The 25,948-nt window shown below is 38.5% G+C and overlaps 1 protein-coding gene across 18 annotated transcripts in view; it reads left to right on the top strand.

Annotated features, from left to right (window-relative positions):
* Positions 23,752–25,948, top strand: part of MYT1L (myelin transcription factor 1 like) — a 542,163-nt gene continuing 539,966 nt past the window's right edge. For all 18 annotated transcript variants that reach the window (NM_015025.4, NM_001303052.2, XM_011510326.2 and 15 more), the window contains exon 1: positions 23,752–24,060. The gene's annotated coding sequence lies outside the window, so the exon portion shown is untranslated. The remainder of the gene's footprint in view (positions 24,061–25,948) is intronic.

Below are 25,948 nucleotides of genomic sequence, written 5' to 3'. Positions count from 1 at the left end.
GTTTAGTATGTTGTCTTTCCATTTTTATTTGTCTTAAAACACATTTAATTACCTCCTAATTTTTTTGTTGACCCAGCGATCATTCAGTAGCATGTTGTTAAATTTCCATGTATTTGTAGAGTTTCTGACATTCCTGTTGGTATTGATTTCTAGTTTTATTCCACAGTGTAATAAAACCAGTAGTTTGAGAAGATACTTGTTTTGATTTTTAAAAATGTATTGATATTTGTTTTGTGGCCTAACATATGGTGTCTTAAAAAATGTTCCACAGACATTGAGAACACATGGACACAGAGAGGGGAACAACACACACCAGGGCCTATTGGGGGATGGAGGTGAGGGGAGGGAACTTAGAGGACAGGTCAATGGGTGCAGCAAACTGCCATGGCACCCGTTTACCTATGTAACAAACCTGCACGTTCTGCACATGTATCCCAGTTTTTTTGTTTGTTTGTTTTTGTTTTGTTTTGTTTTGGAAGAATTTTTTTTAAAAAAGTTCCATGGGCTGATGAGGAGAATGTATGTTCTGCAGTTGTTGGGTTGAATGTTCTGTAAATGTCTGTTAAGTCCACTTGCTCAAAAGTCCAGTTTAAGTCCAAGTGTTTCTTTGCTGATTTTCCGTTTCAATGGTCTGTCTAGTCCTGTGAGTGAGGCATTGAAGTCCCCCACTATTACCCACTGTTGTTGTGTTGCTGTCGATCTCATTATTTCGATGTTGTAATATTTGTTTTATGAATGTGAGTGCTTTCATTTTGGGTGCACACATATTTAGGAATGTTATATTGTCTTGCTAAATTGATACTCATATATTTATATAATGACTTTCTTTGTCTTCTTTTAATGTTGTTGATTTAAAGTCTCTTTTATCTGATATTAGTATAGGAAGTCCTGCTCACTTTTGGTTTCCATTTGTGTGGAATATATTTTTCTATCCCCTTACTTTCATTCCGTATGTGTCTTTATGGATAAGGTGAGTTTTCCGTAAGTAGAACATGAGAGTTGGATCATGTCCTGTTTTCTCAATATCATTTTGCTTTATCTGGATTCCTGGAAACTTTCATCGTAGTGAGGTGTTATTATTCTTACTTGAATACAAGCAGGATGGATGGGGTGGCCATCCACTTTGTAACTACAGCTACCACCTTGGCCTCACAAGGAAATGTCTGTAGTGCATGCAAGATGGATAGATTTTCTATGTTCACATGTGGTTAAATCTGACAGATGACCAGCTGTAACCCATTCTCTTTGTTCAACACTCTCTAATACAGTAGAAATAATAGCTATTTTTCAAGGTCAGCATGCCCATGAATAAAACTAAGTGTTTTTAGATGAGAGAAGCTGGGGAAAGCTGGCCCTTTGGTCTGGGTGGTGGTTGAAGATGTGGTCAGAGATGCAGCCCTTGCTGACCACCTCCTGTTCCAGCTAGTGTCCTGGCAGTGGGAGGCCCTAAAACACCCAATGCCTACTACAAACTAAGTGGGGTGAGATTGTATTATGGTTGGGTAAATGTGAAGTATGCATAAAAAAATCAAAGTGCTGTACTAAATTTAGAGGGTGGTCTGGATAACTTTACTACAATTGTTCTGGCATTCATTTTGTTATGTAAATATTTAGCCATTTATTTCATATTTAATAATAATTTTTAAATTTTGCAATAGACCTGTTTTGCAGTTATTCTTTAACCAGAGAAAAGAAGAAAGAAGAAAGAAAGAAAGAAAGAAAGAAAGAAAGAAAGAAAGAAAGAAAGAAAGAAAGAAAGAAGAAAGGAAAGAAGAAAAATGAAAAGGGGGAAATATATCATATAGGAGTCTGTTTAATGAAAAAATAAACATTTTTCTCAAGAAGTTCAATGACAATTGTGTAACTTTTACACTATGTTTGCCAAAATTTCTATCTAATAAAGGAACGTCAGTGATGTCACTAAGCATATAAAATTCATAAGGCACAAATCTTCTAAGAAAACTGTTGTATCTCTTTGAAATATTCAGATGTTTTTAATTGCTTTTTATTTGAAATAAATTTTGATTTACAACAAAGTTGTAGAACTTGAGAGTGACCTTATGCCCTTCACCCATCTGTCCCTAATATTAACAAGTTGTATAATCATGAGTCAATTATCCAAGCCGGGAAGTTAACACGGTGTAATACTACTAACAGGCTTTATCCGTAATTTCCCGGTTCCCCCACAGCCCTTTTCTTGTTCTAACGCCCCACATACACTGTGTATACTTTTCATGTCTCCCATGCTTCCTCTAATCTGTGACAATTCCTCACTTTCTCTTTGTCTTCCATGAACTTGATGAACATGAAATCTGTGCCTAAAGACAATAATGTACTATGTGTGACTGCAGAAAGTGTGTGACATGTCACTCAGCGAAGCGGAACATTTCCTTTAGATCAAAAAAGTGTTATAAATTAATTTATCTCTCAGATTCCAAGCTTCCCTGTGCATGTACGAGAAGTGAAGCAATCACTGCCATTGTTCCAGTTTCATTAGCTGAAGAAACACTTTGCAAACGGCTGCAGGAAGCCAGTTTTACTTCAGTGTCATAGATGCCTCAAGTAGAGAAAGCAAGAAATCGGTAAATTTGGTGAAAAGGTTAAACATTGCAAAAAATTATTTATATTTTCAGTGATATTAATAGTGTACATGTTGATGGAGCCTGGCATAATACAACGTAGGTACTAAATTAAGAAATTTTGTTATACATAAACACACATAAATGTTGTCAATTAAACCATAACAAAGCTGAAGGGGGAGAAAAGAAGCCTATAGGACAGAAATGCATTTACAATTGGTTGTGGCGTATTGAAATGTAATTCATATTTCAATTGAAACAATCTTTTTTTTTTTTTTTTTTTAGATGGAGTCTCACTCCGTTGCCCAGGTGCAGTGGCGCAAACTCAGCTCACTGCAACCTCCACCTCCCAGGTTCAAACAATTCTCCTGTCTCAGCCTCCCGAGTAGCTGGGATTACAGGTGCAATCTGCGATAAATGATAGTCTAAGTTAGAAAAATAAGCTGTAGTTTTCAAATACACACACAGAGAACTCCAATTTTTTTGTGTCAATTATGACAATGAATTAAAAACAAAATTCAACATGAGGGTACACACTTTCTCTTCTTGCTGCAGTTATAATTAGATTTTTTAATAAAAATATTTAACTGTTTAGAAAATTACTTTGTAAATAAACTCAGGTCATTCTTTGGGTTGAATAATTTGAGAGATACCTGATTTTTACTTGGATAATTGTATATTCAGTGAAATATTTAAAATACTACACACAAAGTTTATTCCGTAGATCTTGTCTTAGAGAAATATCTATCCAAGGAATAAAATCTAAATGGGTTTGGTTTTAAACTAAATTATCAGTCAATTAACTTGTTTTTTTTAATTACACTTTAAGTTCTGGGATACATGTGCAGAATGTGCAGGTTTGTTACATAGGTATACACGTGCCATGGTGCTTTGCTGCACCCATCAACTGTGCACAGCAAAAGGGACTATCATCAGAGTGAACAGGCAACCTACAGAATGGGAGAAAATTTTTTCAATCTATCCATCTGACAAAGGGCTAATATCCAGAATCTACAAGGAACTTAAACAAATTTACAACAACAACAAAAAAAGCCATCAAATAGTGAGCAAATGATATGAACAGACACTTCTCCAAAGAAGACATTTATGTGCCCAAGAAACATGAAAAAAAGCTCATCATCACTTGTCATTAGAGAAATGCAAATCAAAACCACAATGAGACACCATCTCATGCCAGTTAGACTGGTGATCATTAAAAAGTCAGGAAACAACAGGTGCTGGAGAGGATGTGGAGAAATAACTTGTTTGCATTTTATGATTCCTCTTTATTTCCATTTTCTCAACTATTATATGGCTGTTACACTACACACCTCGCAGCTCTTATGTGAGGAGAAAATGAGACAATTAATAGATGTAAAGTGCCTACCACAATATATAGCACTTAAAACTATTCTATAAATGGTTGTTATTATTGTTTTTCCAGACTTTTTATATCTAAATATCTGGAATATTGCAGTGGCTCAATAAATCAATACTGTAAAGTAAGTTAGTTAAAAGTGCCCAGCTGGGATAAAACAACTTTGTGCTTTTATATTTGCCTAAGAATTTATATAAATTAAGAAATACTTTATTTCTTAATAAATCAGTGTGGCCTGTTTTATCTTCTGGCTTTTCTTATGATCGTTAGTGCATGGGGGAATTCTCATTTGCAATACCAGAACTTTCTCTCTGTAGGACTCCAGTTGACATCAACTAATGATTCTTGCAGACACGGGAACACATCATGTAAAAACAATGGAGGGACTGGACTGTCTTGTATATGTGATATTTATTATTACTATTGAAACACGTGAGCATGAGCATTCAATGAGCCACAGCTTTGGCAAAACTTGGCAGTGAGGTTAGAAGTTATGAAAGCAGAGAGAGGGGGTTTCGTAATTGGGTTCTGAGTTGTTCACATGCAGTAGAACAGGATGATTTTGCCTGACATATTTGACCCCAAGTGATTACAAGTTGTGATTGATCACTGAAGGAAAGTAGTTCAGAAGAGAAAGTGCTCATCTGCAGAGTACCTAGAGGCATGGATGAAGGCACCACTCTGCCTTCCCACTAACCCACAGAGGTGGTGCCTGTGATCCGCTCCCAGAGCCTGTCAGAGCCAGGCAGTCTGTCCCTGTCCACAGGGCCCCACTCTCACAGCAAAGACAGTGCCACATGTGGGAAATTTGGGTGTCAGGTGTCTATTGAGGAAGAAAAATCAAATTATCTGTAAGGAAGAAAGAAAATTTGTATTATAGTTTCCTTCCTATTATTCTTTAAAGGAAGCGACGCACGCTTGGAAGTTAAGCTTTCTGTAACTAAACAAGAAAGTCGCAATGACAATGCAGTGGACAAAGAAAATACAAAAAAGCAAGAAAAGATGCATGAAGTAAACTTTCTGGTAGAGAGAGAAGCTAATAAGGTGTAATAATGACAAAAAAAGAAACAAGCTAAAAGTAAGCATGAGAGGAGGATTTCGGGAGAGGTTACTGATGGTAATAGGCCTAGCTCAGGTGTACGCTGGCAATGAAGACCTCAGAGGCACAGAAGGAACAATGGAGGCACCCATGGGAATTTATTAATGGAGAGAATATTGTGACAACAAGAAAATTTCATTTTGTTCTAGTCCAGAGTAAATGAGGAAAAGAGAAAAGAGATACAGACATCAGAAGAAGAAATTGTGGTTAATAATAAAGACACTCTGTCCCATTCATGTTGTTGTCAGACAGGCTCTAGCCAAATTTTAAGAAACAGGAAAGTGATTAACACAGGTTTACAAAGTCATCATGCATGAAATATTTAGGGAACTCTCTTCATGTCCAGCAGGAGGCTACAGCTATATGAAATAAACTGTATAGTGGCTATAAACATAACACGAAAAACAGTTTTAATGCTTATATGAAGATAAATATTCATCAATATTGTTCAGAAAATTTACTAAATATAAGTGGAAGTTATTGCAAAAATAAAAACAAACTTGGAAAACCAAATTTATCCTCAGTGCTGAACATGACAGTAATTAAGAATTAGAGAAAAATTAGTACTAAGCACATTTGGAATAGAATCGAATGATAATTTAACTAAAAAGCATAAGGACTAAATTTCAATAAAAATTCCTGATAAGAGAGCAAATCTACTTTAAAAATATCCTATATGCACAGATGAGTTCCTTCTCTGTTCCCTTTCTCCACCAAAAATTGGTAAAATCCGTTGAAGAGAATTAGGGAAAATAAAAAATGGTATGTGTGTGTTAATATACAAAATATAAAATAAACATTAAAGGGCAGTGGATGCTTGTATTTAAAATGTTTTAGTTTTAGAGTTGAACAAAAAGTTAAACTTGAGCATAGGATAATCACATTTTATTCTTAATTTTAATAATTTAAAAATTGTTAAAATTTTAAAAATGTATTTTTGACATATTGTATGTATTTATTCCTCTGTCCTATTATTGGTGAAATAACCGTGACAAATAATAATTCACTGTAGGTCAACATTAGCAAAAGAATTATATTGTTCAAGACATCAGTCTTGACTGCTTAGTATGAGGACTTTCTTCTCTTTATATTCTTTAAATTGTTTCTTCGGTGTTCTAAATTGCCTTAGTTTTATTTTTTATAAATTTTTTCCATCTTCTCCTGAAATAAGTTAACCCCCAAGAGATCATTAATTCAATATGCCCAAGTGGAGTTTAGAGGATTGATAGTGACCTTTCTGTGTTCCAAAGATTAATATATTTTTCTCAAATCCCCATTTAAATTGCTTGATCATGAAAAAATTCCTCTCATTTCCGAGCTGGTGAGTGTGCAAGGAGAGTCTCAGTGTGTCTATTTTTTAAATATAAATGTATATAAGTACGTGAGGAGCCAGATTATCAGAACTTTTGGTCTGTGCCTCCTCTGCTTCTTCAAATATACTCCATGTTTCTAATGACAATGCGAACAATTATCAGGATTCAGCATTCTTCAACTCAATACACTTTGAGTACTTATTTTATAGAATATGTTATTCTTGGGTGTGCAAAGCATAGAAAGATAAATAATTCATTCTCTTTGGGGAAAATCAGCCATATGTCAAATCACTACAAAATAGAGTATTCCATGGTGAGGGTTAAACCAGAGGAAAACCCAAATAAGGTGACAGAAGAGGAGGGGAGCCATGGGAAACCCTCCTGAAATTCACCCAGTTCCTTGAAGGGTGGTGGATAAGTCCTTTTTTAATAGAGATTTCACTTTCCTCCTTGTTTTCTTTGAAGACAGCCAGAGGTGAAAAGAGGTGAAGTAATGAAGATGAATTGGAATGAAATTTAGGGTTCTAAAATCTACTTTTTTTTAACGGTACTTCTGCAGGTTCCTCCCTTTCTGGCATCAGCTTCTATCAATGTACGGCACCACACAGGCTGCTCGCTTTGAGGTAAGCCTTAGTTCTTAATTCCAGGGATCACTCTGACAATTACTTTTTCTTTCTTTCCCTCTTTTGAAACTGCTTTAGTTTTTCTTAGATTTTGCTTGTTGAACATCCTTATTCATTCATTCATTCATTCATTCATTCACTCATTTGTTCAATTAACACATTCAGTAGGCAGCTAACTATTGCCCCATGTGTTGCTGAGTATTAGTGTAACACGAGTGAACAAAGCAGGGCGGTTTCTCACCTCATTGGTTCTGTGAGCAAAGAGACAAGTCTCTTTGAGAGACTGGCGGGAGGATGGAGGAGAGCCACAGAATGTGCCAGGTGTCAGTCAAGGCAAGGAGAGTGGGAACACTCAAAGAAAATGTGGGGAATTTGGGAGATAGGTTTGTCCAGATAGACCTGGGAAGGAGGGCAGGCAGGTGGGTCCAGGACATGGAGGTTCAGGGGAGAGAGCTGAGGGAATCCCGGACAGCCTGGCTTGGTGGAAATTTGTACATAAAAGTGCAGTGAGCTTTGTAAGATCCTGAAAGAAATGTGAACCAAGGATTTTTATATCCAGCCAAAAAACACCCTCAAGCCTCAGGGAATGTGTTCCCATAAGTTTTTCTTGAGGAGCCTTCTAGACAGTGAGCTTCTGTGAATCAAAATCACAAAGCAGATTTGAATGGAAAGACTATATCATCATTAAACAGACAGCTCCTCATAGACATTACACTACATATGGGTAAAAGGTAGAAAGGATCATATTTAATGGTTATATCCTTTGACAATATAACTATAGTTCAACCATAAAAATGAAGGAAGAACCAGACAACCAATTGGAAAAATAATTTTGAAACTTCTCCGTAATCATATTGATGGTGGTAATATTTAGTACTGTCATTTTGAGACTAATACACTTTTTAGGGCTAAAGCAAAAAGAAAGTAATTATGGGATATTTTAAATAAATCATCTGCACAGTCCTTGATAGATTTTTTAAACAGAAGAAAGTAGATGTGAACTATATAAGTGATACAGTTTGGCTGTGTCCCCAGCCAAATCTCTTCTTGAATTGTAGCTTGCATAATTGCCACCTGTCATGGGAGGGACCCGGTAGGAGGTATTTAATCATGAGGGTGGGTTTTTCCCATGCTGTTCTCATGATAGTGAATAGTGGACTTCCCCTTGCACACATTCTCTTGCTTGCCACCATGTAAAACATGACTTTGCTCCTTATTCACCTTTAGCTGTAATCGTGAGGCCTCCCCAGCCATGTGGAACTGTGAGTCAATTAAACCTTTTTCCTTTATAAATTGCCCAGTCTTGTGGATGTCTCTATTAGCAGCATGAGAACAGGCTAGTACAATAAGAGACTACATGAAAAACCTGTGGTCCTGAATTTGATGGGAAGTATCAATAGGAACTTATAACTTGTTTGATCTTGTTTGATCTCCTGGCTGTGTTTACTGAAAAAGCCTAGAAACAATGCCAATGCAGCGGCAACATTCATCCCTAGCCCCAGATTGTGGTCCAGAAATATCATTCCTCAGGAAAACAAATTAGAACTTCTCAGGAAACTGGAGCAGAAGGGTACAAAATGAGCCCGGGACATCGTGACATACCAAATGGAAAGAAAGCTATCAAAGACTACTGGCGTCATCTTGAAGACACAAGGTTCACCCTGAAGAGGCCCCACCACCCAAAGATGGAACAGCTTGAGCTTCAATTAGGAAGATAATGATAATGCATAGAAACCTAATGAATATGTTTAAATCCACCTCATTAGAAAACTTTTTAAAAAATTAAACGGTCACCTTTGAAGGATGATAGGAAACTAATTATCTTGACAACAGTTAAAAAAAGGAAAGAACCAAGTACTTATTCTGCCTTTCCCACATGAAGTCTACCAGAGACCAAATCGTGCAGGTGAGGGAAGCTTCTCCTTGTAAAAATATTCCATCTAATAAGGAAAAATTAAGTGATTGAATTAGAACGTCAGCATTTTGTAATCTCCACAGAATCCATTTATCTAGTCACTGAGCAGCAACCACTGATAACACCACCAAAATATCCCAAACATGACGTGCTTCCTCATGGAAACACTTGGCCCCATGAAAGGCAGGCCTTAGGTGTGGGACGCAATCCTTCTGAAGCCTGGAGTCCAGGATGCCCTAGGCAGGAAACTCAGAGGACAGAAGAACATGTTGAACTGCACCATGCACATGAAGTTAAGAAAAATACAGGAGACTCCATGATCCAGGTGAATTTGTGGAGGAAGAAGGCCGCTGTGTTCAGGACTCAGCACGTGGAGAGCCTGGTGTGGGGGGCTGGAAAAGTCCTATTTTTTTACCTGAGTGGAGGTCAAGAGAGTGGTTTCCTTCAGAAGAATTTATTTTCTCTGCATCAGTTCTGTGTCATATTCCTGTATCTTTTTTTATTTTATAACTTAAAAAGGTTGAAAGACAAAATAGAAAAGGCCTATGATGTATCTATACTGTTATGTTTGGAGGAAATTAAGATAAAGATAAAATGGTCTTAGGCTATGCTGGCAAACATTATATATGTTTTAAAATATAAGCATTTTTAGATACTTAGAAAAATACGGGAAATATATAATACCAAGTACACAACATAAATTACCTAATGTTAACATGTTGTCATTTTTTTCATTTTTTAAAAAATAAATGCAACACTGAATATAAGTTAGGTCCTCTTATGCTCGCCCAAATTCTCATTTCCTTTATTCCCCAACATTCCTCCCTAGAGGGAACTAATGCCATGGTTTATAGTCACAAAAACAGGAACAATGTAGCCTCCAGCATTGATTGAACATATTAGGTGTGGACACACTTTGCTCACTTTATAGGAATCAACTCTTGGAATTGTCAGAACAACCTCATGAAGCAGGTGCTGCTGTTTTCCTCATTTTGCACAGGAGAAAACACAGGCACAAGGGTCATTCGCTGACGACCTCAGAGCTAGGAAGCCACGAAGCCAGTGCCCAGACCCAGGCAAGTGGCTGTGTGGGTTCAGGGTGTCTGTGCACAGAACCACCAGGGCCAGCATGACTGCATGGAGTAAGCGTGATAACGGAGTGATGATCTTGCATGCAGAAATCGCACCTTACCTCCTTATGGTTACAATTACATTGTCTGCATTGAAGTTATGTTAGTTAGGACCTCTAGCATTAAGCTGAATATAAAATCCTGGCCTAAAGGGCACCCATTGGGTGGAGACTGCTTTCCTCTCTTGTGATTTTTGGACTCCGTTAAATAATTAAATCATTGAATGTACTTGCTGGCAGTCACAACAAATAAAAAGGTCTTAGTGGAGGTAACATTCTTCATTTCTTGAGGCCTGTTTTCTCAACTATAAAGAGAAGTGGGTCTACCATATTTCTAAGTTTTTCTCTTATCTTCAATTTTTGCAGTTATTGTTGTATTGCATAAGCGACCACTCAGTTCTCATTATAAAATAGGGATATTCAAAATATAAAGATAGATGTCTTATATTTTTTAAAGAAGCTGCTGAGGAAAGGCCAAATGAATGGATTTTATTATTTTATGTTTAGTGTAACAAGTAGAAAACAATGTTTAAAAAATGTCTGAGCATAACATAACATTAATTGCATTAAAGCTGGCAGTGGAACTTTATGCTTTTTTTTTCTTATTCTTTATTTGCATTTTCTAATTGATGACAATAAATATGAAACTTGAAAAATAAAATGAGAACAAATCTAAGACCTTTAAGTACATACACTGTATTTTAATAAATGTGCCTTCTAACTTCCCTAATTGCCACGCCTGTGAAATCAGGCTTGCTGTTCTCCTGAGCTCTCCTCAGAACCTCACCCTGCCTCTCCACTCCACCCTTCCCCTGGGCCCCTTCCAGTTTCTGTGGCCCTTCTCTCCCTTTGCAGTCTGTCTCTTCCTGATCTCACAGTGCTCCTCAGTAGGAGTGGTAGAGAGGAGGCATTTGCTGCTGAGGACCTACTAAGTGTCCCCACTGAAGAAAAATGGGTCTTGCAGTACAAGGATTGACCTGACGGTTCTCTGCGCTTCCCGTTTTGATGCTCAGCCCCTGCTGGAGGTCATGCTGCAAGTTGACCCTTCACCTACCCTAGGGTCTAAGTCCCCACCCATTACAAAGCCCACGCTCTGGTTAGAACAACTGTTATTTTGTTTTTGCCTTCATGTTGGCTTTGCTGGATACTTTCAGATCTGACTCCTTTTTACATTATTGAATATGCTCAATCTGCCTTTGGTGTTCTTCACAATGTCAAGTGCCAGAGAAGCCAGGAGGCCTCAGGAGCAGATTCTAATCAGGGTTTCACGTGGCTGGGATTTTGAGGCTGTGACCAACATAGGTTTTTTATTTGAGACCCATCTTTCGGACCCAGATTTTAAGGCATACATTTAAAAATTTGCCTTGTTACCTTTTAAACACATTTTACTTTTTTGTCTGAACAGTATTAACAAATGGAGAATTTATTTTATTTACTAGAATTGATATTTTAACAATTTTGGCTCTTTCTAGACATTCGACTTCCAAGAATAAAGATTTTTCTGCAATGAAGAAATTACATAAGATATGCCAGATAACCTAAAGGTATCCCAAACTTATCTTGAAGAACTTAAGCCTTGTCTCAAACAATATAAAGCTCTGGAATAAATATGATCCTCATGAAAGAGAAAGAGTATTTTGAATGTCTTCAGTTTGAGTATTTTTTAAATCACTCATATTACTTTATAAGTATATCTTCTGACTTTCAAATTAAGTAAAATAATGTATGGAAGGTATTTTGTGAAGCCCCTCTGTCACTTAGATCTGGTTAAAGGAACACAGCAAATTCGATGAGACCTAGCTTGAAATCCACCATGCAGATAATGTATGGAAGGTATTTTGTGAAGCCCCTCTGTCACTTAGAACTGATTAAAGGAACACAGCAAATTCAAAGAGACCTAGCTTGAAATCCACCGTGCAGATACACGTATTCAAATTTGAGTTAATGTCCCAATTTGAGCTCTAGTGGCCTAGAAAAGAAGTTTTAATTTCCTGCTAACCAAACATTCTTAGATGTCTTTAAGATAGTATAATTTATTGGACAAACCACCAGGTTTATTCATGCAGGCCAGTACTCCATCCTGAGTGAGTGACTGTGGTAGCTTAAAGGATCTCTTTCTGTCTCTATCTGCCTGTCTCATCTCTCTTTGTCTCTCTGTCTCCCTCTGTCTCTATCTCTGTTTTCTCTCTGTCTCTCTCTCTCACTTTTTCTCTCATCAATGATATCAGACCAGTCACCACCTTTCTAGACTTCAGTTTTCTAAACTATAACGTAGATCATCTCTAAGGTAGCCTTTTCACTTCTAATTTCCTATAATTCTAACATCTGCTTGTGTTTTTATTATAAGTGAATTTGGAAAATGAGATTCCAATTCTACAAACTAAAGTAGATTGTCTGCATTAGGCAACTATTTAAGATAAATTTAAAGAGAGAGGTTCCAAACACCACTTCTCATGGCCTCCATAAAATAACATGGGAATTCAACTCCAGCCTTTGAAATTCTTTTCAGATGAGGGTGAAAGTAGGTTCAAGGAAAAACAGCACAGCTCATGAATGCATACATTCAGAAATAGTGCAGAAGAAGCATGTCTCAGGCACCCTGGTATAAAACTTGCCATCAATCACAGAATGTTGTCAGGAGAGGCCTCTGAAATTTACATTGGTAAAAGATCTAAAAGCCAATACAATATATGTTGTTGTCCACACTGGACTTTCAGAAAGGTTAGGGAATGAATAGCAGAGCAAGTCAAACAGAAACACAGGTCCAGAGCCCTGGGGAATGGACAGGCTTCCTAGGAAGGGCCTGTGGCAGTTATAGGACAGACAGGCCAACCCCGGAGATCCAGGGAAATGTGAGGCAGGAAGAGCAGATGTAGAATAAACAGCATTGACTGAGTTCCCAAACTCCAAAGCTGCAGAATATCCCATGCCTTTCTTTTTGTTACATACAACTAAAGGAATCTAAGTAGAACACAAGTTACAAGATTATACAGTAACAACCAGATGACAATTGAAGCAGGCAGAAGGGAAGGATCCACAAAGACATTCTTAAGGGCGGGGACAAGAGTCCAAGCACGTGTCCCAGTGTTGAGCAAACATTCATGTATTCAGTCAGTCAATGAATATTTATTAATATTTATGTCTATGTGTGAAAATGTGCTGGATCTTTGGTTATCGACAGTATTTCACATTGCCCCATAGGGTATTTCTATGGTTTCTGTAGACAGGGGGAAGTCCAGCAGACCTATCCCAGTGTGAAACTAGAGGAGAAATCTGGCAGTTTCTATCCGAGAATTCAATATGGTAGTCACCAGTGAAGTGTGGCAATTGAACCCTTGAAACGCTGCTGGTACAAATTCTGATGGGGTTTAAGTGCAGAACACACACCAGATTGTTTTTAAAAATGTAAAATAGGCCAGGCACAGTGGCTCACACCTGTAATCCCAATGCTTTGGGAGGCCAAGGCAGGCAGATCACGAGGTCAGGATCTCAGACCAGCCTGGCCAACATAGTGAAACCCCGTCTCTACTAAAAATACAAAACTTAGCGTGGCATGTTGGCACGTGCCTGTAATCCCAGCTACTCAGGTGGCCGAGGCAGGAGAATCACTTGAACCTGGGAAGTGGAGGTTGTGGTGAGCCAAGATTGCGCCATTGCACTCCAGCCTGGGCAACAGAGTGAGACTCCATCTCAAAAAAAAAGGCTGGGCACCATGGCTCACGCCTGTAATCCCAGCACGTTGGGAGGCTGAGGCGGGCGGATCACCTGAAGTCAGGAGTTCAAGACCAGCCTGGCCAACATGGAGAAACCCCATCTCTACTCAAAATACAAAATTAGCCGGGCATGGTGGTGCATGCCCGTAATCCCAGCTACTAAGGAGGCTGAGGCAGGAGAATCACTTGAACCCAGGAGGCGGGGGTTGCGGTGAGCAGAAATTGTGCCAGTGCACTCCAGCCTGGGCAACAAGAGCAAAACTCCTTCTCAAAAAAAAAGTAAAATATCTCATTAATAAATTGGATGCTGATTAACAATATTCTATGTGTATTAAGTAAAATGAATTATCAAAGCTTATTTCACCTGTTTCTGTTTCAAAATATGTAGCTATTAGAATAAATTTAATTAAACCTGAGGCTTAAAGTATATATCTTTTGGAAGGCACTGATCCAGTCCAGTGTTTCTCAAACTTTACTGTGCGTACAGTTCACAGAAGAGTTAGGTTAAAGGCAGATCCTACGTCAGTGGGTCCGAGAGGGGCCCAAGATGCTGCGTTTTCAACAAGCTCTCAGGAGACACCCATGGCTCCTACATCTATCACAAGAATAAGATGAAATAGAAGACAAAGGCCTTTCAGTCCATAATTGGGAAAGAGAACACCTGCTGTGTAGTGTATTAAAAGAAAAACAGGAATTGTCCTTTATTACAAATGAATAAGACCACACATCAAAGAAACATTGTTAAGATATTTCTCCTTGCAAAGTTTCTTCCAGCTTGATATCACAAAAGGGTTGGTAACTAACTATGCCATAAAGTTTGTGGGGTTTTTTAGCCTACTTACTTGTTTCATTTCTGATAGGATTTGGACTGTGGTGCAATTTATTTTGTTTCTGGAGTCTAGAGGATTTTGCATTTGCAGCTGAGAGAGAAACAAGTTTTGGAGCCAGAACTCATCGGATTTGTGCGGAGCAGGGCCACTCCACACAAAGGCTCAGAAGATGGTAATGAATGAACAAGACCACTTCTCAGAAAGCAAACAGGCCAGGGTTTGGGGTGAAGGGTGGCAGCAGATCCATGATGAGAGGTAGAAAAGGAGAAACTGTGCCGGAGCTTGGGCTCTTACCTTGAAAGACCCAGGGTTTAGGTATCTGTGTGTGTGTGTGCCTTTGTATTCTGTGTCTGTGTGTTGTATCAGTGAAAGCTCTGAGATATAAACAAAGGAAACCAACAGGCTCCTTTCAGCAGAAAAGGCCATTTATTAACAAGATACTGGCATCTTGCCGAATGCTCAGGAGTGGAAGATGAGGACAGAGGGCTGAGGCCATTTCTAATGTCCAGGCCGCTGAGGGGGTTCCCTCAGAACAGCTCCAGCGCCTCCTCCATTCTTGCACTCACCGGAGAAGCCTTCTCCACCTGCCCAGGCTCTCAGGGTGTGACCTTCCTCTGTGAAGCATCAACATGGAGTAAGTGTCTGCTATTTTCATCCCATGCTGCCCCACATCAGCACACATCCCTAAAAAGCACTTATGCATCTTAACTCAATCCTCTCCTGAACGAGATCATTCCCCCAGTTCTTAGAAAGGAATGGCTTGATTCTCTGTGCTCAGCTCCCAGTCCAGGATTCCTAGCTTGTGCCCACTTCTTCTCTATTCTGCTACAATTCCATGTCAACATGCTTCATACTATAGGCCACTATCACCTTAAAATGACAGGGGAAAGAGAGAAAAGCAGAAAATTAATTCAGTTATATAAAGATGTACATGACCCAGGAAGGAAGATAAATGCAGTTAAATATTCTAAGCCTTTTGTCTACAAGGTGAGCATGAGCATCTTCCTGGCTCTGTCCCAGGCTCTCTGCATCCAGCCGGCTCCTCAGCTGGTCAGAGGTGCTCACCTTGTAGGATGGCGTCTGCAGTGAGAGAGATGAGTTCTCAGTGTTGGAAGCTCTAGTCTTCCTTTGGCTGTTATGACTGAACCTGGCATTATTGAAAGATGCCCCAAGAATCTTCTTTTTGCTTTCAGGTTAGTCATTAGTCCACCAAGATGCCATATTTAAGATGAAAAAATGAGGGGCTTTCAGTTCATGGCCCTGAAGTTAGAGCGGGGCCCTCCCCGTGTAGCGACCCCTGTATTCCTTTGATAATCTGGGTCAATCCCTTTACTGAACACCTAACCCCTATGCAACCTGCTCCCACAGTAGCCTGAGCCTCCAAAAAGAGGAAACCAGGAGTGGAAGGCAACGCTTCTTGCCTTTCTGTTTAGAAACATAACCTGGCCATTCCCCAAACAATCAGATTCCAGTAACTTTATAAGGTGCAGACCCCTATATTTTTGTTGAATTCACTTTCTGATCTCTAGCAGGTCTCTATTTTGTCAAGAAATGTAGCGTGAACACTGGCCCCTGTTCTCCAGGTTCTTGCAGTGTTCTATCATTGCTGTAGTGGGGCCACCCTTATGTCCTCTGGGCAGAGAGAAATTGTATTTTCTGCAAAGATAAAGAATTAATATAACCTAGGATAGGACAGTGAAGATGTGTTGTTGTTCCTAAAATAGGAAGAAATACTAATCTTGGTCTAATCCTTTCATTGGGATAACATCCATTTCCTTGTGGTTGGAGCTATGAGGATTTGCTGGAGTAGAGAAGCTACATTTGGAACTTCGTCCTCTATCAGCTCACCACGGTTCTCCAGAATCCCGTCTTCTGTGCTAGCCCCACCAAAGAATGAAAGACCAGCATGCCTTCCGTTATCACCACTGGCAACTTTACAGCTATCATTTCCCCAGCAATGTCACAGTACTTGTTACATATGTAACAAACCTGCACGTTGTGCACATGTACCCTAAAACTTAAAGTATAATAATAATAAAATTATTATTTCGATTTACTATTTTGATAGTCCATTTATTAGGGATCCAGGGAGGGGATTCTGCTGGCTATTGAAAATATCTTTTTTTTATTATTATACTGTAAGTTTTAGGGTACATGTGCACAACGTGCAGGTTTGTTACATATGTATACATGTGCCATGTTGTTGTGCTGTACCCATTAACTCATCATTTAACATTAGGTATATCTCCTAATGCTATCCCTCCTCCCTCCCCCCACCCCACAACAAGCCCCGGTGTGTGATGTTCCCCTTCCTGTGTCCATGTGTTCTCATTGTTCAATTCCCACCTATGAGTGAGAACATGCGGTGTTTGGTTTTTTGTCCTTGCGATAGTTTTCTGAGAATGATGGTTTCCAGCTTCATCCATGTCCCTACAAAGGACATGAACTCATCATTTTTTATGGCTGCATAGTATTCCATGGTGTATATGTGCCACGTTTTCTTAATCCAGTCTATCATTGTATGTCACTGTGTCTGGAGTGCAGTGACATGATCATAGCTCCCTGCAGCCTTGAACTCTTGGGCTCCAGTGATACACCTATCTCAGCTTCCTGAGTAGCTAGGACTACATGTGGGCACCACTACACCCAGCTTATTGAATATATGGTTTTCATCTCTGCCCATAGGAATTTTGGGGAAATGAAGGGAGGGTTTAAGGCCCCACTGAGCATGCATCACCAGCCTCACTCCCTGTACATCTCTCTCAAGTGGACCACTTGGTATTCTGGGTTCCCAGAAGTTGAGGCAAGCCAAAGTCCAATGAAGCCCATGAGTTAGGGGCATTTCTGTTTTCAAATACAGAATTACTCTGACAAACGGCTGTAGGGCCATCTGGGAAAGGACATTTATGTTCACGATGTTACTGCAAGATCATTCTTTAAAGGCATGTCTTCATTTTAGATATCCTGAGTCTAGAAGCCAACTTATTTCCGAGATTGGGTGAGGATCCTCAAATCTTTATGGTAGGACTCAGGTCCGACACCTGTGCACAGATACCAAATTTCTTCAGTTCCGTAAATCAAGTAGGAACTTTGTAGAACACCCATCTATTTCAGCAAATTATTCCATACGGTCAGGGCTGGCCATTTAATTGGTTTTCTACCATGTATCATGAGCTGACAAATTCCTGTCTTATGAGATGTTTTCTACCAGGAAAGATAACAAAACTGCTGTTTCTCAGAGATTGAGTTGTCTGCATTCTTAGTAAACACATGTGCCTCATTTCGTGTACTTAGTTACAAGTAAATATTCTGACTGAATTAAGCACACAAGTCAGATCTACTAGGATGGTTGAAATCTCAAACTTGGAGATTAGCACATTAGTGATAATATCTAAAAGTATATAGCACAGCTGGTTTTCTCAGGATGCTGCTACAACCACCATAAACCCTACACACTGCCACTCTTTCTCAATTATACTGCACAACCACCATTGCCATAGGAGAATCTTTAAGGAATATGGTTTTCTGTGGGATCAACACACAATTCAAAATCTAAATTGGGCATGTCATAATGGTGAATCGTAGGCCATGTGTCCATGTCTTTGCTGAAAGAGAAGTTGGAAAAATAAATAGCTTGTTATTTTAGTATCTAGAGTGAGAGGCAGTCCCTACCTACTAAGGAGGCTCAAATATTGGGGAGGGTTGGGATGTAGGAAGGAGGTTCCAATGCTGGAAATTCAGAAAGAGTGAAACAATTACTACAGTGTGGACCGGGCTGTACATCTTTCTCCTTTTGTTGAACCCCATCGTCTTCTCTGCCTCCATGTTTTTTTCTAGATTCTCTTTTCTGAATGATTTTCAGCACCAAAACTCTTCTAAATGAGCATGATAATTATTACTGTTTTCTGTACAGTGAAGAAAAATATAATTTTGAATAAAGTAAGTGGCTTTTTTTTTTAACTTCAGGGATGAGACCCATAAGCTAATTATAAAAATAAATAAAAATATTCTTATTGAGAACCTGATTTAGACCAGCACTATTCCTATGTACTCATAAGCTAAAAGGCATAAGTCCCTTTCTTCAAATAGCTTGAATCATTGCAGATACTAACCTGATAGCACAAAGAAATGAAATGCGATATAAAAACCCCAGATGCAAAATAGTTCAGAGACTGAGTCTCAAGGGTGTGCAGGTAATGTGGAAAGTTTTGTTGCAATATGCGTATTTTTGAATTTATTGGGCCACTGAGGGTGAAATGAAAGGTATTTACTTTCACAAAATTGCAGACATTTTATAAAATTATAGACTTTGAGTAGAATAAATACCTTCTATAGATTATCTTAGTTTGCTGGTTATAATAATCTAAACCAGCAGTACCCAACCTTTTTGGCATCAGGGACTGGTTTCATTCATGGAAGACAATTTTTCCACAGAACGTGTCGGGGTGGGGAGGTGTTTCACCTCAGATCATCAGGCATTAGATTTTCATAAGGAGCACACAACCTAGATCCCTCACACACACAGTTCACTATAGGGATCACACTCTCATGAGAGTCTAATGTCGCCACTGACTTGTCGGAGCTCAGGCAATAATGCTCACTTCCCCACCATTCACCTCCTGTGGTGCGGCCCAGTCCCTAAGAGACATGGACTGGGGTTGGGCACCCCTTACCTACATCTTAAATTCTCAATGCTCTTTTAGATCTCAGAATTATATTTCATATTTATATCTATATATTTTGCCAATAAATAACCAGTTCTATAAAATCAGGCCAAGTGATCTGAATACAGATGTTTTCAACTCTACCTGCTCCAGACTCCCCTAATATGGGTTTATACTGAATAGAATGGTCAGCCTGGGATAGCTGCAAAAATAACGCATGAGCTCTGAGGTTCATGGTCTACCCCTTGTGGTCCAGTCATTTCACCGAGATTACACAACCAAATTCTATCTGACCACAACTATTCTTGATACCTCAGCTCTTCTTCATGATATGTCTCCTAAATTTCTTTCTCATTATTCTATTTAGCAAATTAACCACCAACACCTTATTTCTTTTATCTATTTGCTATTGAGTCACTCTATAGATGTTTTGATTAGTTGAAGCTAATTCCCTGTAATGAAAATGGGTTCCCCATCCTTATCATTGATAAATTAATAAACCACCCCCTCTCTGATATATAGCTAACTTGGAAAGTTGTTCCCCAATACAGTGGCGGAGGGCTATGTTAGTGCCTGATTTTGCATAGTGTACACTCTGATATAGTAATATCTGGATTCCAGGTTTTACCAATTTACTACCCAACTATAGCAATTCTATGCTGTTTGCTCCAGACCTAAATTAATCTCAGACTCCCTTTAGATGTCACAGCTCTCCATCACTGGTGCAGACATAATTCTGAAGAAAAGGTCATGAAGTCATCGTCATGCTTTCCATGAAGGTCTAGTTCCCGGCTCCTCACCTGGTGTGCAACATGGCACCTGAAGAAACGTCACGGCTCCTTTTTGTTTCTGGTCTCATGATGAGACCAGAGTCCAGAGAACAGAAAGGAAAGAGATTGAACTTTCTATACTATGAGAGATCAATCTATCGTTTGTTAAAGTGATCAGCATATGTATCCTACAGTTGGAAATACATCCTAGGTTATAACTTGTGTGTATTTCCACACAAAAAATTATATGGGCTTTTTTTCTTTGTACTAAATTGGAGGACATACCCATTAGAAGTGGCAATATGTTCCAATTTCTTTTCTCTTACAAATAAATAAATACATACATAAATAAACAAAATTAATGACATATGTATTTCCTAATACCAAGGGCTTTAACATGTGGAATAAACTAATACATGAAGTACAAAATATATTAGAAATAATTTAAGGAGGCAGGTGACAGATACTTAGAGACAAAACATTTGGTTATACGGTTTAATCGCAAACTACAGATTTTTAATCTAAATGGTCATTTGAGTATTCCCCAGTTCTTCTACATCATAAAGGATTTTATGGTACCTTACTGCAGAGTACTCGATATCATTTTTGAAGAAATCATACTGTATCAAGTGAGCTACAATGTAACTGCAAAATGCAGACTGCAGTGTTGCTCTGCTGTGGCTCTGTGGCTTCATGATTCATTCATTTTTCCTCTTCTCTTGAGCCATTTGAGGGCTGGTATCTCAGCTCTAAAAGTCATGCAGAGAATGGGTGGAAAGAATACAAATGCTTCACTGGAGCCCGATTCAGGCTGGGGCAGTTGTTGTCAACACGATGAGGTTGAATGAAATGCAGTGACAGTGTGGTAAGGGAAGACGTGTTCTTTAATGCTGCTGGGTCCAGGGATGCCTTACCTTAAGGGTAAAACATTAGATACTATGCTTATCAACACAGCAGCCTGTCATTGCAGTGAGTTACACCTACAGCTTAAGGTAACCAAAGCTGTTGAAAGAATATTGTGCCTGCGTGTGTGTGTGCAGGTGCCCCATATCAAATATACATTCTGTTTTCATAGACATGCACAAATGTGTAAGAAAAACATATACATGTATAAATCTGTGATTTAAAATATTGTGTCAGTATTATTTACAGATTTCTTTCTTCTTAATGTAAGGTAAGGTATGTGGGGGTGAATTTTAACTAAGAATTTATTATTAACACAACTATGATAAACTCATAGGGAATGATTACATGAATATGTGTGTATATATGTGTGTGTACATACATATATATTCATTTAATTTGAACTTTATTTTTTTAAGTACATTTGGAATTCCTTGGAAGTAATAATATAATGTATATGTAAACGCCTAAATAATACCCAGGAGGTCACGATTTGACCTAAACACTCGCATTTGCGTGGGAATTTTATTGTGCTCACTTTTTTTTTAGAGGAATGCTTTGTCCTTTACAAAATGGACAAATACTCCCACTGTACTGCAGTTCCAGTTCTATAATCATTTTGGAGGCGCTCTTTACCCCGTGGTGACCACAACACGAAGAACCGTCCTTACCCACATGCTGCTTGCCTGGGGAGCTCAGGATCAGTGTCTTACACACAGAAGGATATATGCTCCCATTTTTTTTCCGCCGACTGTAAATGACTCCTATTCTTTGCTCCACAGAACATCCGATGTGGTGCCCAATCAGCTGAAAAAGCTGCACAGACGTCATTAGTTCCGTGTGTGTGTGTGTGTGTGTGTGTGCAAGAGAGAGAGAGAAAGAGAGAGAGGAGACTGCAGCTGCCTTGCCGCGTGCCGAGTGGAGTCTCCATTAGGGCAGCGCTATTGATTTCTGATTCACACTGCAGCAACAGGGCTAGAGCTCAGAAGAAAAAAAAATCACGTCTCAGAAACAGGAATTACAAAGACAAAAATAAGTAGATAGATAGTTTTATACAAAAATCAAGCATCTGTTACCAAAGGAAAGCAAAACTGACAATTTAGCAAAATTTAAAGACTGTTTATAACATAGAATAAGATGTATAGGAGAAGTAGAGTAAAATGAGTTTAGAAAAATTATTCGTTCTAATTTTTCAACCATTTTTTTGAGAGGTGATAATGGTCTAATTTCCAGAATGCCTTGAAAAACCCTGGAATACTCGGCAGAGGTGCTGCAAAGTAAAGCTTATTTGAGGGCAATCTTGAAGCTATGCCTGAGAATTTTAAACAACAAAATATCCAAGATTTATTTTTTCAATTGTGTTCGATTATTTTATTAGCTAGTAGCTTTCTCTGTTTTAATTCTCTGTGTTGCATAATATCTAGGATACAGTAACAGGCTGGTTGCAAATGCTCGAAACAGAAATAGGTTTCTTCATAGGCTGTGTTTCAGCATGTCCAACTGTGAGCCTGTGAAGCAGAGCATCGGAGTTCTCTCGAGGTCTGTTGCTTCAGATTTGGTTAGAAATTATTGAATCTGGAGTGTAAAAATCTTGTCTGGGCCTTTTAGGCAGCTTGATTTTAAAACTAGCCCTTCTGCCCCAAGACTTATCAACCGCCCCCCCACCCTGTCCCAAAAGAAAAGCTGAAGTAAGTTCAGTGTTAAAATAATGGTGCTGTCAGGCAGGCAGTCTGCATGTGAGCAGCAGAAAATTAGAAGAATAGAACCATCCATTCTCGTTTCCCCCCGCGACATGCACGCACACATACGTGCACACACACACACACACCACACACACACACACAGACAACACCAGTCAGTGAAGGGGGAAAAGGGTGATACCTTTTTAAAAAATGAAAGGCAGTAAGCCATTATTAGCAAGAGCTATATTGAGCATGCTTGCCAGACAAGCAGCAAAGCTGAGCTCCAGTTCCGCCCAGACATGTGCCTTGCCATTTTCATTTTAATCAGCCTGCTCAGGATGGCTGCTGATTCATTTTGCAGGATGTCCCCCTGGGAGCCAAGGTGGAAGCCTGAGGCGAGCTGCTATTGCATCAATGCAGCACATCAGAGCGAGAGCGCGGAGGCAGAGGGAGGAGAGAAAGCCTTCAGCACCGCATCCCGATTTCAATATGGCTAGTTAGAAGGTCCTGCATGAAACCGAGTCTATTGCAGAAAACATAATGAAAGGAAAGGAAAAGAAAAAAGTCACATTGTCATTTCATTATCCAACTATTCTCTCCCCCAACCCCTTCTTGCCACCAACAGACACACACACGTACACATTTTACAGTGACCATGAAAGATTTCAAGCCACTCTGTGGAAGTGTGTGTGTGTGTGTGTGTGTGTGTGTGTGTGTGTACTATTTACCTGGTAACTAGCTGGGGTGGTATACCTGATTTAGCTGGAGACTTTGATTTGTAGGACTGACAACCTTATTATGCAGTGAGTTTATTATTGATATTATTCTGCTCTCGGTTGCCATGGCCACCTTGTGAGAGACATTCAATTTTCTCTCTTCCATCATCATTATCTATGAGGCCATCTGTTGTGGAAAATGAATTCAGCCTCATTTGCATGACTGATAAGCAATTTTTTTTTTTATCTATTTAACAGAAGGTCATATGCCGGGGATTTGGAGCTTGTGAAAAAAAAATGTGGAAAAAAAAAAAAGCCTAGGAGAGGATGAGTGGGAGCGTGTGCATGGGGGTGTGTGGAAGTCAAACAGATCCCTGAGGCCTGCGAGCCTATCGCGCTGCATTTGTCATTCCTGCCCGGGCGACATTTTTTTTTTCCCTAAGCTACTGCACACTAAACAGTGAGAGAGCTTTTCCCTGCAGTCTTGTTGAAGCACCCCGGGTTTTTTGCTCATTGTTGGTGGGTGCATTTTAATTTTTTCATTCCCTGGACTATGGGTTATGATATCCATACTCACTGAAGACAAAAAGCCACCTTTTCTGCGTCTTGGTGGCATGCATGTGTCTCATCATCCTTTCAAACTTGTGGTGGAACAGGGTTTTCTTCCCTGTCTGTGTATTTTGAGCCAGCACAGTTACCAAAATTGAACTTGTCTTTCGCTTGTGAGCGGTTGTGGTCATTGTGAGGTACGTGATGTTCGTTAGGTTAATTTTTCGGGGAACTTAGTGAGCAGGATGTGTTTTACCGTAGCTCAAGGGCTGAGGCTGCTATTCCATTGTCTGCTCCTTTTTAAAGTTATTTTTACAGCATGGCTGGTAGCTGAAATGTTCCTGGACTGGAGGCTTTGTAATCCACAAAAAAATCTGTCTTTAAACTAAAATGGGTATTAGGTTGCATGACTTAACTGTGATGTTGTTTATTAAGAAAAAAAGAAACAAAAACAAAACGGGGTGCATGTATGGTGTTTGGAGGATAAGAGGATACTGAAACAAAAACTTCCCAGAGACTTTACTGGATTACTTTACATTACAAATGAAGCACATCATTTTATGCAAAGGCAATTAAAATGTTAGCTATTTTGGATGAATTTACCTGATGGTAAGAAGAAAGTTGATTTATATTGTTTAAGTGGAGAAACTCAAATAAAGATTTTTAAATTTAACTTAAATGTTTGAAGTTCATAATAATGAAAGAAAATGTTATTTATAACAGAAATATGTCTTTTTGTAACACCTAAATTAATAAACTAAAAGATTAAACTCTACACTTTAGTTTTAAGATAGATCTGAATAAAGCAAAAATATATATGTAAATATTTATATGAAAGTTAGCTATATAAAATATAGAGAACAGATTTTGAATTTAGTATTAACCATGACAATTTCTTGTACCATCAAAGCTATATAAGCTAAATAATTTCTAAGTTACTTAGAGTAAAACTATTTTATATAAGAGCCTTTTTGTTCAAATGTTTATATTTTCTACTAAACAAAATTAACGTCATAGACCAAAGCATCCCAAAACCACCCTTACTGGCATATGAGGGTCTTTCTAATTGTTCATCTTCATTTAGTGTCATGTAGCTTTAAAAATAATAAAGTCATGTCTCCCATACAGATAAAAATGTAATTATTTTTAAAAGAAAAGAGTTTTATAAAATATTCCTTTTCAAAAAAAAAAACAGCATTGCATTCCTATAAGTTTTCACCTCTCAAGAACTTTGAATCCAAAGTGTTGATTGTAAGTTATAAATGCTACTAAGAGAAACATTCCAGAAAAAAAGGAAGTTTGTTTTTTCTGATTGACCTAAAAGAACATGTATGATTCTATCACCTCAAATGCAGTAAGTTAATTGCTTAAAAGTCTCCTTAAAGTTATACTTGAGTGATAAATTTTCTTTATTAACTAACATAGACCACTACTGATGTGTGTGTGTGATGGTACTTTACTTGATTGCACTTTGAAAACTCTTACCATACTATCATACACTTTTCATAAACAATAACAGTTGTTATATAATCCTTCTGCTTTTAATCAGCCATATTTCTTTATATTTTAGCTTGATTTTCAGAGAAATAAGTTTATTTTAAATATTAATTGTGCATTTAAAGAATTTAAAACAATAAAATTCTGATAGATTATGAAGATTATTTAAAGTGACATCAGCTTTCTCAGAGGACTATAAGAATCAGTAATATGAGATCTGGATCTATATTATAATATGAAGGATTATGTTGTTGTCTTTTGATCTGTACATATAGTCTTCAGATTCGTGAATCAAAATTATCAACATCTAAAAAAACCTATGAGATAGCACAGTTGATTTTTCTCTCCTCCCCACCCCCACCCACAAAAAGTTAATTACCAATCTTGGTTGGATTCTTCCTTGCCTCCCTGACATTTGACTGCTGCTAATTCACTGATTAATCTCATTAATGTGATTATAGTAGGATTTAGAGTTGGCTGCCATTGTTCTGTAGACAGTGCTATTCAGGCTGAGCACTTGCCACCTCATTCAGTTTTGCTGTGATTTTTCAAAGGCTGGTGGAGTGAGCTATTGTGAGCAGGCTTCTC

This window comes from Homo sapiens, chromosome 2 (assembly GCF_000001405.40).
Source record: "Homo sapiens chromosome 2, GRCh38.p14 Primary Assembly".
Taxonomy (NCBI): Eukaryota; Metazoa; Chordata; class Mammalia; order Primates; family Hominidae; genus Homo; species Homo sapiens.
Note: the sequence above shows the minus strand (reverse complement) of the source record. Positions and strands in the feature narration are given on the sequence as shown.